Consider the following 18,021-nt stretch of genomic DNA (forward strand, 5'->3'; position numbering starts at 1 on the left):
CACAGCTACTCCACCAACACCAGGGGGTGGGAAATAGGCCACTCAACTGAAAAGAAGAATCAGAGTTAAAAGGTTTGGCTTCGGCTATTTTTTTTTCTCTAAGTTAAATTGAGTTCCACTGTGTAGTAGAAATGGCAGCAAAGGAAGATAAAGCTGGAGAAACTGGAAGAGGAAGAAAAGAGGATCCTTGTGTTTGGGAACTTTGTTATTTATTGGGGATATGGTTAAAAACAAATGGTAGACATTAAGTGTCTAATACAATGTATAACTTAAAACCAACACATATACCCATGTGCCTCTTGAATCCGTTTTTTTGTTTGTTTGTTTGTTTTTTTGACAGGGACTCACTCTGTCACCCAGCCTGGAGTGCGGTGGAGTATCATAGCTCACTGCAGCCTTGACCTCCTGGGCTCAAGTAATCCTCCTGCCTCATTAAAAAAAAAAATTATTGTGAAGACAGGGTCTCACCATGTTGTCCAGGCTGGTCTCAAACTCCTGGCCTCAAGTGATCCTCCTGCCTCAACTCCCCAAAGTGCTGGGGTTATGGGCATAAGCCACCACCCCCTGTCCACTACTCTTAATTACTACCCATCCTAAATTCAGCTAGCATCTTCTCATGACTGAATTCTATTGTCTTCTCCCAACTAGTCAACTTAGAGTCACTCTTGTTTTGCAGAGGAGAGAACTAATTTAACTTCTGCTTAAATCTCTTCAATAGTCTATCATGTTTCTAAGATAAAGACAATCTTCCTTAGCACAGTTTACAGATCCTATAAATTCTGTCCCCTCCCTATGTCTCTGGGAAGCTTCAGCTCACCCACGGGCTCCCTCAGTCCTGGCCATCTGTCAGTGTCTCTCAAGCATCAGACTCCATCCAGCTCAGGATATGTGTACATGCTTGTCTCCTCTGCCTGCATCCCTCTTTCTTCCTCCTCCACCTGTTTAATGCCAATTTCAACCTTTCTATCTTAGCTTAACAGGTACTTCATCAGAAAGCCTTTCCTAACCTAACTGGGCAAAAAGCCTCTATTATATTCTATGTGCTCTTCCTATCCTTACCTCAACTTTGTAATTGTTCTCAAGATTTCATTTTCACATTCATCTTATGAATATTGGATTACTCCTTTTTTTTCTTCAGTAGCTGTATGGGGTCAGAGGACATGTCTTTCTTGATTATCACTGCATCCATAGGGTCCACCTAGCACCTAATACCAGTAGCATCTCAAAAAGATTTTAGGCAGTAAGAAAGAAAAGAAAGAATGAAGAGAGGAAGGGAGGGAGAAGGTAGAAGGGAAGGGAGGGAGAAGGTAGGAAGGTAGGAAGGAAGGGAGGGAGAGAGGGAGGGGGAAGGGAGAGAGAGAGAGGGGGAAGGGAGAGAGAGAGAGGGGGAAGGGAGGAAAGGAAGGGGGAAGGGAAGGAGGAAAGGAAGGAAGGAATGGAGGGAAGGAAGGAAGAAAGAAATGGAGGGAGGGAGGGAAGGAAGAAGGGAAGGAAGGAAGAAAGAAATGGAGGGAGGGAAGGAAGAAAGGAAGAGGGAGGGAGAAAAGGAAGGAAGGAATGGAGGGAGGGAAGGAGGGAGGGAGAGAAGGAGCAAAGGAAGGAAAGAATAGAGGGAGAGAAGGAAAAAAGGAATGGAGGGTGGGAAGGAGGAAAGGAAGGAAGGAGGGAGGGAAGGAGGGAGGGAAGGAGAAAAGGAAGGAATGAATGGAGCTAGGAAAGGAAGGAAGGAATGGAGGGAGGGAGGGAGGCAGGGAGGGAGATGGAGGATAAGCGAAGGAATTTACCCAGACATAACAAAATGTATTTCCTAAAGTCATAGGACCCAGCACAAGCAACAGCTTCTTAATAAATAATTATGGCTTTATTTGCAGATTACAGAAAGCATGTAGCAAAGATCCAGTGACAGAAGAAAATGGTTAGTTTAAAAAAAAATGTTTCCCAGGCACACCAAAGAGCACATGAAGAAAGAGAGAAAGGTACATGTGAAGTGCATTAGCAATGGCCTAGGTGACCGTGGCTTCCTTGATTTGATGGATTTTGGTTGAGATGAACCAGACTCAGTGTGTTCTAAGACACATGGCCAAAGGCAATTGTTACATCTTTCCTTTGAGGAAACAGACATTCCTGAGTTTGCTTTCATCAGACCTCAGAGGCAAAAGGATAGACCAAACGGCATCTGCCCAAGACTTCTGGTCCCCAATTAAATTATTCAAATGGTACCAGTGAGCTTACTGAAGGATCAGGAGGAGAGTGTTAAAAATTTATGCCTTCCAAAAATTAAACAAACCGAGAAAATTTTAACTTGCCAAGTAACCTAAGCAGCATATGAAAGAGCTTAACACTTTGTCCGGTACATTATTATGTAGTAGTTACTCAATCAATGATCAAACCACTGCATGTTATAAATAATATTTTGTTTGGTGTTTGCTGAACTAAAATGATAGCAGCCCCCAGAACATTGATGGAAGTTTTGCCCCATCTCCATCCAAAACATAGTTTCTATTGTGTGAGGCTTGACCTGTTCTGGGGGATGCATGCCACTGTTTATAGTTTCTTAGCAGTTTTAGTGACACTGGGCTCTGAGTGAGATGTATGTTAGCTTGCTTTACCTAAATACTGTACTGCATGTTACATTTCTGCATTGTCAAGTTCTAAATTGCACGCACCTTGCAAAGATGAATAAAGTTTTAACTCATCATACTAAATCCATTATTAATCTTCCTATTACGGTCCATGGCTAAGGCAAAAAACTGAATATATAAAAATTTATTTAAAAAAATTAGCATCTATATGTCCCATTTAAATTCCAGCATTCAAATGAAGCATGAACTTGAATTAAATTGATTTTATAAGTAAACATGTCTAAGTTAAGAAGGATTCTAATTTATTATATTCTTGAATGCTATTTGGCAATTTTATAAAAAACATATAAAAAAATGAAGAGATGTTCCAATTTGTTTCATCATTCTTAAATGGTTAATTATAGTATAAATACCATGATCTTGTATACTGAAATAGAAAAAAAAATCCTTGGAGACATATTTAATCATTTGGATTTGGTAGTGCAATGTTTATTCATTCATTTTTAGTCCATTACAGTGTAAATTAGATTTGATTTGCTTGCTCTGATTGGCTTAATTGCCCCAGTTACAGCTGAAGTACAAATAAAATTGTAATAAATTGAACAGATGTTTAACCTACTCTACCAAGATCTTTAATAGTCAATTCCAATTGCAATTTACATTCAGCAATTTAACAAGACCCTTAGGAAACGTATTTGATTATTAAAACAAGCTGTTTGTTTCTGTGTGTGATGGAAACAAGACCATCGTGTCACGTGCTTTGACCTGGTGCAATTTTTGTGCATATTTAATTTTGTTTTATCTCGTTAGGAAAAAAAAAAAAATATATATATATATATATATATATGGCATGACTATAGAAATGAGTCTGCCGGCTTAAAAAAAATAGGCATCATATTTAAATTAATGCTAGAAGGGAAATTTTACAAGATTATAAAATATTTTATAAAGAAAGAAACAAATCCTATTGCCTTTCCTACAAGCATCTTCACTAATAGCCTCCGTGATAGCCAACGGGAAAGACTCATCTTAACAAACGCATCAATTAGAAAATAAACAAAAAATTCCACTATTCAGATTCTGCATGTCATTCACCCACTGCCCAGGTAGAAAGAAAAATATTCTTACAAAAAGTGCTTGGCATTGCACTAATGTCATCTACAACGTTTTCACTTCAATTTAATGTGGCTGCTAAGATACTGCATAACTTGTGTGTGATCCGCTCTTAGTAATCCTTGGCAGAAACTCGCACGTTGTAGCTCTTGTATTTCCTTGGAAAGAAATTTAGGATACATTCTATGTCTAGTTCTATAAACGTATAATATAAAATTCCAAAGAGATTCCTAATTATTGTACTCTGAGGCCATGTTTATGTAACAGGAAAGTTTACTAAAAAATTAAACTTGCAGTATGGATATAGAATCACTGAACTGAAAACTGAATGCCCACTGAGAATCAGCTCATCCTGGAGCCAAAACTCAAATGTCTACAGAAATCAGGGAAACAGCCTAAATGAGGGAAGATTCTAGGTGGGGACAACGGTGAACAGGAAAGCGCCATCTCCTGTAAGGGATCCATCCTACTTAGTTGCAGCCAATTGTTGCCAAGATAGAATGAAGGTGAGGGATGACAGAGATTCTGATTTTTCATGAAAATCCAGGAATCCAGATTTCTGTGAAAACTTTTTTGATTAAAAAAAATGCAACTACTTAAAAACTTTTAGAATATTTTGAATGTTAAAAAGCAACAATAAAAATCTGTGAACCAAGCATATCCCCAGTGCATGGGTTGCTATTTGGTCACTTATCTGTCCAATCCCAATATTGCACAGCTGATGACTGTGAGGCCTAAAATAGTTCAAGTAATCATTATACCTTAGCGATAAAACCAGAAACTAGAACCCCTGCCCCTAGGTAGTTAAAACCACCCACTTGGGTTCAGATCTCAATTATGATGCAACATAGCTACACAACCTTTAGCATATTACTTAATCTCTCTGACCCATTTGTAAAACAGAGATAGTAATATCACCTATAGCATAAGTTTCTTGAGGAGATAGTGTAAGATATGAGATAATGTCTAAGGAGCACCTAGAATGCCTGGTGCCTAACAAGCATTCAATACATCGAAATTACAATCATTGCCATCAGCATTATCATACTAGATCTTTCTGAGAAAAAAAAAAAGCAAGAAATAATCTTGATGATAAAGCCCAATCTCTTGAAAAGGACATTTCATTTAAAACCTACTGTTTTGTGTGGCAATCCCTCAAAGTGCAAAAAACAGAATGACCATTTGACCCAGCCCAATCCCATTACTGGGTATATAAACAAAGGAATATAAATGATTCTATCATAAAGACACATGCACGCATATTTTTAATACAGCACTATTCACAATAGCAAAGACATGCAATCAACCTAAAAGTCCATCAGTGACAGACTGGATAAAGACAATGTGGTAGATACACACCATGGAACACTATGCAGTCATAAAAAAGAATGAGATCTGGCTGGGCGCTGTGGCTCACGCCTATAATCCCGGCATTTTGGGAGGCCAAGGTGGGCGGATCACAAGGTCAGGAGTTCAAGACCAGCCTGGCCAACATGGTGAAACCCCGTCTCTACTAAAAATACAAAAATTAGCCGGGCATGGTGGTAGGTGCCTGTAATCTCAGCTACTCAAGAGGCTGAGGCAGGAGAATTGCTTGAATCCAGGAGGCGAAGGTTGCAGTGAGCCGAGATCCTGCCACTGTACTCTAGCCTAGGTGACAGAGCAAGACTCCAACTCGAAAAAAAAGAATGAGATCATGTCTTTTGCGGAAACATGGATGGAGCTGGAAGCCATTCCCTAGCAAAGTGACACAGGAACAGAAAACCAAATAGTATATGCTCTCACTTACAAGTGGGAGCTAAATGATGAGGACTCATGGACACAAAGAGGGGAATAACAGACAGTGGGGACTGTTTGAGGGTGGAGGGTGAGAGAAGGAAGAGAATCAGAAAAAGTAACTATTGGGTGCTAGTCTTAGTGCCTAGGTGACAAAATAATCTGTAAAACAAGCCCCGGTGACATAAGTTTACCTATATGACATACCTGCACATATATCCCTGAATCTAAAATAAAAGTTTAAAAAATAACAAAATCTACTGCTTTGATTGTCCTTAAGATTCTTCCAAAAAATAATAAAAATAAAATCTATGTTCATTTTTATTGTAAGCGTTAGAGTGAGAAGAGAAAGAGGAATGATATGAAGGGAGAGAGAGGAGTAAGGGTGAGGCTAAGGGGATGTTCCTAGGAAGCACTGTGTGCCTTATGAATCCCATTTTCAGTAAATTCTGGAGCCTTGACCAAACACTATTTCCCCTCCCCGAATCCTCAACACCTGTTACATGGATGACAACAAGGAACTACTATTCTGGGGAAAAGAGGTTCATTTTTCTTAGTAGATGTTTGCATTCACGGTAGACAACATTACAGGATACAGCAAAAAGCAAAAACTAAAACTGAAATAAAACGAAAAATTTTCAGCCAACTGTGCATTTGGAAACAGTTTCATTCCATGGTGTCCTTTTGTTCTGAGTCCGGCCAAAAAAAAAAAAAAAAAGAAAAAACTAAATGTTTATATATGGAATATCAAGTGGGTTTTTTTTTGTTGTTGTTATTTTTAAACGATCAAAAAAAAAGGGAATTTGATTAGTTGTGAACAAAACCTGCAAAAAGAGAAAACCATAGACGATATCAGGATATCATACAGCAAAATTCTTTTTACTGAGAGTAACTGTTAGGCATTCAACTCAACACAAATTACGGTATACCATAGGCAAAGTGGACTGAAATTATCTACAAAGTTTAAAACTATGGAGATTTTTAAAAGAACTTTGTGTTTTCTCATTTAAAAAATGAATTCTTTCTAAAAATTACAGTGCTTTTGCCAATAACAACATGTTTTTTTAAAGAAACTGTTTTCTATGACTTTGCAAGTAATTCCTTTTATTTGGTTTCATTGCATAATAAAACGAACCAATAGCATCATGTAAAATTGACACTTCAGATTAGGGTTTTTAGCATTATGCATGATGGGTAACTTCAAAAGAAGCCTCTGTTGACTTGCATTAACAAGGAAGCATATGTTCTTCTGGTAACCCATAAGGAATACTCTAAATATAAAGCAATAGAAGAGTTAAATCACATCCTGAGAAAATAAACTAAAAATTCATGAGTTTTTTTTTCCTAGCCCCCACATAAAAATTCCTTTAGGTAAAGCTTGAATTATGATGAATACCACTGCTATTTTATGATATCAAGGGATGAAATCCTGATGAAGTAATTGAGTTGGTCTCTTTTTGGAAAAATGTGTTGAACGCCCCATCATACCTAAAATTCCATATCAGTGTAAATACAGCCAGGAACCACCTAATTTTGCTTGGTATTTTAGGCAACCAGATCCAGGGAATGTGAGTATTTGTCTGTCAATAGGGAGAACCTACAAGGCAGTCTCTTGTATTCAGGGCAAAACATTCCGGCTGATCTCATGTTCTTCCCCTCAATGCCGCCATATTGGCTAAAGAACCCATGGCAAACAGACTCTCTGTTCTTCTCAGGGCTCCCTTAACCATATGTATCTGAAAACCATTAATTAGTCCTTTGAAAGGGTTTTTCTACCTTTTTGTCCCCAAAGGAGCTCTCATTCGATCTATGTTCATTTCTTTCCTTTTGATACTTTGATTTTCTACTTCAACTTCTGGAAATGTGAGAACTCAAGACTGACAGAATTTTCCATCCATGGCTGAAGGACCCATTTGAGGATTCCCAGACATACCCCAGTGTGACACTGAGCTCTTGCCCCGGACCTTCCAGAGACCTCTCTGGATTGTCACATGAAGTTGGAAGCTATGGAGTCTCCTTAGACAAAGCTTTTAAGCCTAGAGTTCAAATGAAAGGCCCATGAGGGATAATTGCGAAGGACACTGTCTGAACTGCTTGGAGGAAAGGTTACCTATGTATCAAAAAAGCATCCTAAAATGTTGAGTTCCTCACAAATTAAGGCACTGCTTGCAAACTCCTCCAAGCTTAGGTGAGTGTACAACAAACTTGAAGTCACTACTGGCCTGCGAGAATTCCCGAAGCATCTTAAAAATGGAAATCTGCAGATGGGGCACAGCAGCTCGTACCAATAATACCCAAGCTTTGGGAGGACTGCTTGAGGCTAGGAGTTCAAGACCAGCCTGGGCAATATAGTGAGACCCCCCATATCTATAAAATTTTATTTTACTCATTCCTGTATTCCCCTAGCACTTAGGGAGGCAGACACAGCCCAGGAATTCAAGACCAGCCTGGCCAGCAGAGCAAGACCTCATTCTCTACAAAAAGTAAATTTTAAAAACATTAATGGAAATCTGCAGAGATTAGCATGTATATGTGTGGGTAAGAGTGTGTGAGCACATACACAACAGAGTAGGAAGGGTGTCTGGGTCTACCACTTATTCCTTCATTAATGTTGCTACGTATCATGTTAGCATAGAGATAACGCTGAATCTGCCACATGGAGAGAGAATAGGCTTTGAAATGAAGGAGAATGTTGCATTAGTTTTCTCCTGTAGCTTTAACACATTACCACAGACTTAGTGGCTTAAAACAGCACAAACCTATCACCTTATAATTCTATAGCCAGGTATCTCACTAGACTAATCAAGGTGTCAGCAGGGCTATGTTCCTCCTGGAGCGTTTCAAGGATAATTCATTCACTTCCTTCGGTTTTTCAGTGTCTACAGGCTGCCTACATTCCTTGTCTTGTGGCCTCTTCCACCACCTTCAAAGCCAACAGCATGGCATCTTTTCAATTTTATTTAATTTTATTGTATTTTTTGAGACTCAGTCTCAATCTGTTGCCCAGTCTGGAGTGCAGTGGCACAATCTGCTGAGTGTAACCTCCGCCTCGTGAGTTCAAGTGATCGTCCTGCCTCAGCCTCCTGAGTAGCTGGGATTACAGGTGCCCTCCACTACTCTTAGCTAATTTTTATATTTTTAGTAAAGATGAGGTCTCACCATGTTGGCCAGGCTGGTCTTAAACTCCTGACCTCAAGTGATCCACCTGCCTCAGCCTCCCAAAGTGCTAGGATTATAGGCATGAGCCACAGTGCTCGGTCAGTGTGGCATCTTTAAATCTCTATTCCTGACTCTGACACTCTAGAAATCCTCATGATCACATTGGATCCACCCAAATAAACCAGGATCCTCCTCCCATTTCAAGGTAGCTAATGTAATGGCACCTACAAAGTCTCTTTTGCCATTAAGGTGAGATATTTGCAGATGTGGGAGATTAGGATAAGGACAACTTTGGGGGTTGAATATTCTGCCTACCAACTCTGCAACACAATCAACTCTGCAAGCCAGAAGCCTTCTTTCTGGTGCATATCCCTGACTAGTGAAAGCAATTATGGCTCTGAAGCCATTCAGTAGAGAGAAGAGAATGGAATGGCTTTAAATCAAAGATCAGTTCACTTTAGGCTGAATTAGGAGTTAGAATCCAGACTAAACTTTTTCAGGAGAGAAAGTAAAATACCCCAAGTCTTACTCAACCCTGAGATGACTGGGTTGTTGTGTCCACAGAGGGCCCATCTGTCAATGACCTTACCAAAGCGAAAGGTAGCTTCTCAACACAGATCTCCTATGTACACAGGACCTTCAGTATTGACAATAAGGTAAATTATTATGTACAGAATCTTTAGAATTAGGATTGGGCTATATGAAAACCAGTCTTTTAAAATGTCAACATTTATTTTAGACTCTTGGGTAACATATGCAGGTTTGTTACAGGTGTATATTGCATGATGCTAAGGTTTGGAGTATGATTGATCCTATCAGCTAGGTACTGAGCATAGTACCCAATCGTTTTTCAACCCTTGTCCCTGCCCTCCACCTCCTTCTATTAGTCCCCGGCATCTATTACTGCCATCTTTATGTCCATGAGTACCCAATGTTTAGCTTCCACTTATAAGTCAGAACATGGGGTATTTGGTTTTCTGTTCCAGCGTTAATTCACTTAGGATAATGGCCTCCAGCTGCGTCCACGTTGCTGCAAGGGACATGATTTTGTTCTTTTTTATGACTGCATAGTATTCCATGGTGTATATGTACCACATTTTCTTTATCCAGTTCACCATTGATGGGCACCTAGGTGTCTTTGCTATTGTGAATAATACAGTGATTGACATAGAGATGCTTGTATCTTTTTGGTTGAATGATTTATTTTGCTTTGGGTATTTTATGATGGTTTTGATTTGCATTTCCCTAAGGGCCAGTGATGTTATGCACTCTTCCCATGTGCTTTTTGGCCATATCTATTCAGATACCTTGCCCCATTTTAAAAATTGTGTTATTTGTCTTGTTATTGAGGCATTAGAGTTCTTTATATATTCTAGATACAATTCCTTACTAGATATGTGATTTACAAATATTCTCTCCCGTTCTGTGGGATGTTGTTTCACTTTAAAGACAGTATCTTTTGAAACACCAAATGTTCTATTTTGACAAAGTCTGACTTATTATTTTTGTTTTTTGCTTACGCTTTCAGTATCCTATCTGAGAAACCATTCCTTAATCCAAGATCATGCAAATGTATGCCTGTGTCTTAAGACTTTTGTAATTTTAGCTATTATATTTTCATAGGAGATCTACTTTTTGTTAATATTTATATACGGTGAGGTAGGGGTCCAGCTTTATTCTTTATGAATAGACAATTATCTTTGGCCTATTGTTGAAAAGACTATTCTCCGCCTGGTGAGGTGGCTCATGCCTGTAATCCTCAGCACTTTGGGAGGCCAAGGCAAGCTGATCACTTGAGGCCAGGAGCTTGAAACCAGCCTGGCAAATGTGGCGAGACCCTGTCTCTAATAAAAATACAAAAATTACCCAGGTATGGTGGCATGTGCCTGTGGTCCCAGCTACCCAGAAGGCTGACGCACGAGAATCGCTTAAACCCAGGAGGCAGAGGTTGCAGTGAGCAAAGATCACACCACTGCACTCCAGCCTGGGCGATAGAGTGAGACTCTGTATCTTTCTCCCATAGTTAGTGCTTAATTATTTAAAAGCATCTCTTTTACAGAAGTTGTAGTTCACGGAAATAGTTAGGTATTCTTTGCTAACACCAACAAAACAGCCAGGATGTTTGTTATAAATAGGCAATAAATGGTTTGGAAGTGTTGAGTGACTGCTTGTATCTTAAACATAGTGAAGCTAAGGCAAGAAACAGATTCAGTCAGGTTAAGGGCTGTGACTAGGCCACATGAACTAAACACAATGGACCACTGCCTTTGCATAAGGATATTTTTACCTGACCATCATAGCAGATTGCTCTTAGTAAAATCAGGCTTATAGTAAATTTTGTGGAAAGATTAAAACAAATACAAAATCTAAATTCAAATATATAATGAATAATACAAATTCAAGGGATATTCTACTCTAAGAATTCATTGAAATAATGAATATTTATTATGAACCAGGCCTATGTTCCTGCATTTAATCTTCATAATAACCTCATGATCCAGGTAATGAGATTTCTTCTATTTATAGGTGAGAAAAGTAAAGGTTAGACAGGTTAGTTTCTCAATATCACAGAGATAGTATACAGTTAAGATGTGAACCTGGAATATTCTAAACTCAAGACAATGGATAACCACTACACTTATTTTTCAACTCTAGCTGTCCAAGGGCCCCACCATTGTTCAACCTAAGGGCTGAAACTGTCATTTGATTTAAAAATGAATAGCTATTATCTTAACCCAATCATCATATCAAATTTTTCTCAGTTGTTATAACAATTGCTCATAACAGATGAGATAGGAAGATTAAAACAAATATACAATCAAGGTTCAATAATGATTTCTAGAGCTGGATTGCTGGAGTTATCTGATAGCCTATCTAATGCAAACCTTGGGCTTACATATACAGGAACTGAGACTCGGAGGAATTAAAGGAATTGTTGGACATCGCAGATGGGATTTGGTGAATCCCAGCATACGGTGTAAATATGACCTTTGTTTCAACAACTGACTCCACTATTCTTAACTTCCACTGTTACTCATGACTGTTTGATATAATTCTCAGTCTCATGCTTCATGAACTCAATCCTTCCAGGCTTCTCCTGAGCTTTACTTACTTCACAGCACCCACCATAGACATGGATGTGAACGCTTGTGGGTCTCCTCCCAGCTTTGGATGACTTCCCCTAGCCTCCCCAGCTCCATAGCCCTTCTCTTCCCCACTCAGACAGGCAGCATTTGCCTTCTACTTTTTCCACATTACTGTTCCAACCCAATCTATTTCCCGAGGCTGTCCTGCTAAATCAGGTCTTTGATGTCTTCTGTTTCACTTACCCCTTTGGCCCCTACACAAAAGAAAAACATCAACCAAGAGGCAGCAGTGAGTTTCCACCATATTTCTTATATTCCAAATGACACATATGGAGTCCTCCCTGTCTTTACCTCTGAAGGTGAAAGCTAATTTTTAAGCCTTATTTAATACATACTAAAATTGCCACTTTAATAAAGTTCTTCATCTGCTGGAGATCTCTTTTTCTATTTAGATTTTTTGCAGACCAAAAAAAAAAAAAATTGTCTTAAGGGTCTAGGTATTTGTGCCTATGAATAATACAGATAAATTTAGAACCAAACATAAAGGCTACAAAAGATAATTCACAGTATTTCCTTATCAATTCACAAAGATTCAAGAAAAACCCAAACTCTTTTATTTCTGCCTTTCTTATAAACAAAATCATGGAGTTAAATTAACTTAATCATTAGCTTTTCTGTGCAGAGATTAATTAATTCTCTTTTGTATCAGATTCAAAACACAGGATATAAAACTAGCTAGCAGTTTACATTTTTGGTTGTTCTTGTGAAGTTTTCCATTTAATTCTAAAATCTTTTGCATAGCAGGTAATACCACTTTAAAAGAAGCAAGCATTTTATTAAAGTGAGACTCCTGCACAGGGGGAACAACATAGAAGCTGTGATCTGAGATGACAGTTGGTTTACTCTTACCATTTGATCACAAAATTTCTCTGCCATCTGTGGGAAGCCACACAGGCAAATGTGTCATCACATCTAATAATGAAAAGAAAAAACAGACAGAACGTGCTGGAGAAACAGACTGCTTTAATTACCCCCTCACAATGCTCCTTGAGAATCTGGAGAAAAAGCATTGTGCATGCAAGTTATTTATACAAAGAAGGTAGCCAGCACTGAAGATTTTTTCAAAAAAAATTAGGATGCATGCCCTTGTATTTTCAGCATGACCAGTTGGGGCAGAAACAAATGTATAGCAAAGGTTGTGGAAGAAATCTTGTGAAAAACAGATTGGCTAAGAAAATAAATAGTATGATGATCGTCTATAATTCACTATTTATGTGCTGGAATCTCAAAATTGGATTCTTCAAATTCGAATAGAACCTGTACTACAGCTCTGTGGTGGGAATGTTGGAAGACGCTGGAGGTACAAAACCAGTTCCAAGACACAAAGTCTTGACCTACCCGATGTCTAAAGGTGAAACAGTCATTGGCCCCCAAGACTTTTCATTTTCCTTTTCAAGCCCAAACCTCATGACCCATGATGTAAGTGTTCTTAACCTCTATACCATAGGTGTTCTCAGAAAGATATAAGAGCACCGCAGTCTTTTCCTTTATTCGAGAATAATATGAGTTATATCCTGGGTAGCTAAAAGAGATGCGAGTGGTACAGTGACTCATGACCTAACCCTCAACAGTGTAATTGCTATGGACTCAAGACAATTACAGTCATTTTCCTGTCTTCACTCTGAGATCAGTACAAGTTATATAATTTCCCTATCCAAAAAAGAACCATTTCTTATCACTTTCCATTCCATTTCTGTTCAATTTCCATTTTATTTCTGTTCTCATCTACCCCAGCTGTCTTAATACCTCCACTAACCACCACCTCCTACCTCCTACCAATCCAGTAGCTTCTCCTGTCTGCAACAGGCCAATCTTCCCACAACCATCTCGCTAAGTGACATTGGGACTGTAGTGTTGAAGTGAATGGGAAAGAGGCAAGAGGAGCCTGAGGAAGCGACAGATGAATGGTCTGTAGACAAAGAGATAGTTACATGCAAGATATGAGACTTACAGTCAATGTATTATGGAATGGTTGCATCTGTGTGTGTCCCGAGACTTCATTTTCACACTGACTTGTGTTGGTCTCCCTCTGAAACTTTATTTAAACTTTATTTTTTCAATCAAACTATTTTTGAGCACCAGCTATATGCTATGTTCTAGCACACAAGAGAGAGAAAAAAAAATTTTTAAAGATCATTGACCACAGAAACTCACAGTCTAGTTACACCGAACCAAAATTACAATGGAGCCCTTTTCCTAGCATTTTTTTCCATTTGATGTATTATGAAAGTAATATATAACATTGCAAAGCCCTGTAAAAATGTTAACACGTAAAAAAATGTTTAAAATGGCATATGATATATAAATGTATCTAAGTAGAAAATGTTTTCCTCTAGACCAATACATTAAAAAAATTTATTGTAAGATTGTAATTTTTTTCAAAATTATTTATTGAATACCTTCTAAGAGTCAGGCACTGTCGTAGACACTGTGAATATAATAGTGCATATGGTAGACCAGGATCCACGCCCTCATGGATCTTACATTCTAGTGATAATAAATATAGTTTTTTTTGGAAATATCTATAGTATGTAAGAGAGTGAAAAGTTATATTAAGGAGAAACTACACCATGGAAGGAAGATGGGGCAAAGGGGTGTTAGGTAATGCGTTCCAGTTTAAAACTGAATGTGGCTGGGTGCAGTGGCTCATGCCTGTAGTCCCAGCACTTTGGGAGGCCAAGGTGGGCAGATCACCTAAGATCAGGAGTTTGAGACCAGCCTGGGCAACATGGTGAAACCCCATCTCTACTAAAAATACAAGCAGAATTAGCCAGGCGTGGTGGTGCATGCCTGTAGTCCCAGCTACGGGGGAGGCTGAGGCAGGAGAATCGCTTGAACCCAGGAAGCAGAGGTTGCAGTGAACTGAGATCGTGCCACCATACTCCAGCCTGGACAAGAAAGCAAGACCCTGTCTCAATCAATCAATCAATAAAACTGAGTGGCCAGGAAGGACCTCCTTGAAAATGTGACTTTTATATACAGATCTGAAGTAAATGATTCTGTGAATCATATGGACATCTGGGGAAAGAGTGTTCGTAATATTCAAGCCAAGTACAGATAAATTTTGACTTGTTTTCCATTTAACACATGTCACGATTGTTTCATTTTATTTTAAATTTTATAAGAAAAAGCATAATCTGTCAACACATGAATTTAATTATGACATGTTTGGTTTGGGGATTAAATATATATTAAAATGTAAATTAAAATTTAAATACACATTAAGCACTATTTTAAAAAGCAAAAATTGTTTGCGGCATCTGATATTTGGTATTTTTGCATTCTGTACTTTTAAAAAAAAACAGGTTTCAGATTCTTATTTGCAAGTGCATTTCTGCAAGCAACAGCTTGTGAGGGGAAAGTCTTAATCCCCAAAAAATAAAAATTCAAATTGGAAATAATCATCAATATGGCTTCTTTTTATATTGGGTTTTGAAGCACTGGTTTTATCTTGAAGGTCAACATAAGACATTTGATCATGTGACTAATGGCTCTCGTGAAGTTCATATTGAGGTGAATTTAGAGACTTCGCATCCTTTCTATGTCCCTATTAATTTATTGGATTACAAAACCCGGTTTCCTTGTATTTCACAGAATTCATCAAGCTTATTATAGATTTAAATTAATCAATATATGACCTATAATTCAAAAGCACACACATGAGCCTAAGCTGTATAATGGTCATTTACCACCACAAAGTGCGTAGCAGGGCTCAGCTGGATTGAAAAACCACTGGCATTACTGACTCCAGGTCATGGTTTCCAGATCTTCAATAACTGCCCCTCATAATCATCAATCTGCATTTGGAAACTCTCCAGTGAGTCTATTTTAAAGAGAAGAAAGGGTTGAATTTTTTTACTATGTGACACATTAAATAATTATCTTACCACTGTCTAGACACCACTACCGAATTTAACACTGAACCACCTTTGGGAAACTCAAGTTGGGAAATGCTGCAGTTCAGCAACTTGATGGCAAAGCAAGAGCTATTGTGGAAGTTACTGCTGGACTCAATGGAGTCAGAGAGGAGGAACCCATACCCAGTGAAGCCTTCCAAGAGTTTGTCTAAAAGGTAAGTAAGAAATAGGCCAGTTAAAGAAGAGGAAGGAGCATCTCCACAAAAAGCACAGAGCCATAAAGGGGCTTAACGGGTTTAAGGAACAGTCTGTGGTTCAGCGTGGTGAGTCTAGATGTGAATCAGGGAAAGATAAGGGAAGAGGATGGCAGATTCCCAAGAACCTCGTATGCCAAGCAAAAAGTTTGGATTTTATCCAGAAGTGGTGGGGAGCCACCAAAAGGTTTCATTATGGCTATAAAGTACTTCAACTGATGTGTCAGAAAAATCACTGGGCCTAGGAGGGTAAGGACTAGATACCAATAATATCTTGTTTTTATTCTAACACCTATGCAATATGATTTACAAGACTTAGGGTGATCTAGAGAGCCTTTGCTAAAATAAGGCTTTCCTCCTTTTTTTCTATCCTCCTGCATATTCCAGTTAGAAGAAAGCATTCTCTTTATGCATTCTTGCTTAAAAATCACTAAAATCACCAAAATAGTGCAATAAGTATTATCAGTTTTTAAGATCTTTATGAATTATATCATTTTTCTCCTAAAGGGAAGCCAGTGATGTAGATGGGAAAAGGGACAGTTTGCAGAGGCATGGTAATGAGTAGCCCATCCTGAAAGAATGGTCAATTTTGTGTCATAAGGAGAAGACAGCAGGCCGAGAATTCCTGAAAGATATCAGAAACTGTGAAGAGTCCAAAATGTTACCCTACATTCAAGCTAACAACTTAACGTGCTGTAATTTCAAGGATGCAGGCAGAAGACCTAAGACTCCTGGGCCAGAGACAAAGGGCATTTTACCCACTGCAATAGCAATAGCCACAGTATTATCACTTTCTTGTTTCTTTCCTTGACTCCCAGTTCCTACAGGACAACACAACAAGGGCCAGGTAATACCTGCTGATGCAGTCGGTTGAGTTGCAGGAGAGGAACCCCGAGTTTAGGAAACCCCCATCTTTTATAATAGGCAGCAAACAAAGTGTCCACTGTTTGCTCTAGAGGGAGACATTATCTCTGAACCCAAGGCACCTTACTACAAAGAGATGTCTGAAAAGATGGTCCAGAACAAAACACTCTTCCTAAAGACATGCTGAAAGGCTGGAGATCCATAAATTATATCACAACAGGAGCTAACTGTGTGTCCTTAATCAAGTTATTTGTCTTTATTGAGCTTGTTTCCTTACGGATAAATTAAGGAGATCATTAACCAACTCATAGGATAGTCTGAAATAAAATATTATTTCAAACTCAAAACCAGCAAAATGGTGAGCTTTTTATTTTTGTATTATGTTTGAGCGTTTTCTGATAACACTGCTAAAAATGTAAGTTTCTTCTCACCAAATATTGCACTAATAAGCCACAACCAATAAAAACATAGGTGATTCCAACCCAGAAAACTTAAATGTTAACCTCTGAAATTAATAAGATATAGAAAGTTAATTAATTGTGTCTGTAACCTAGCAATTGTACTTAGTGATTCCTTTTCTGTCTTTTTAAATCCTTGTTCCTAAAATGTTCTTTGAGCTTGCTCATTTGTTTTCTCAGTGGTGGCCTCATTAGGGAATTATTTAAAAATTTTACAGATGCTAACATATAAATTTGTATGAAAAGTTTGATTGTAAGTTTCTTATGAGCATTAAATAATATATAAACTATCTGGAGGTATCTAGAGAATAGTGAGCATTCAATAAATATTAGTTCTTTCCTATAATTTTAACATCCTACAACTTAGGTGCCATAAATCATACCAAGATTAACGTTTTGTAATTAAAATCATAAAGCCATATTTTTCTAAAAGTTTTAAAATAATGACCATTTTCACCAGTTTCCGTATATTTTCAGAATCAAGGTAATTGATTGTAATGACTCGTGAAAAATAATACTTTAAGGCCACCATTAGCTAAGACAGATTTATAACTAGAGCATTATTTTTAATTATCTCTATCTTCACATTCCCTTTTCAGGAGGCTGGTATCTCTCTTTCCCACGTAAGTCCATCTCTTCAGTTTCAGGGATGGAGAGAGGAAGATGTAACCTTGGAAGCGGAAGGACACAATTTATAGGATAATCCCACTCATGACAAAAGAGGAAGGTAAACATGTCTGCTCCCCCGACCCCGGTTGTTTGTGGGGGAAAGAGGAGTATACCAGTTTGTTTTCACACTGCTGATAAAGACA

This window comes from Homo sapiens, chromosome 10, assembly GCF_000001405.40.
Source record: "Homo sapiens chromosome 10, GRCh38.p14 Primary Assembly".
NCBI classification, from domain to species: Eukaryota; Metazoa; Chordata; class Mammalia; order Primates; family Hominidae; genus Homo; species Homo sapiens.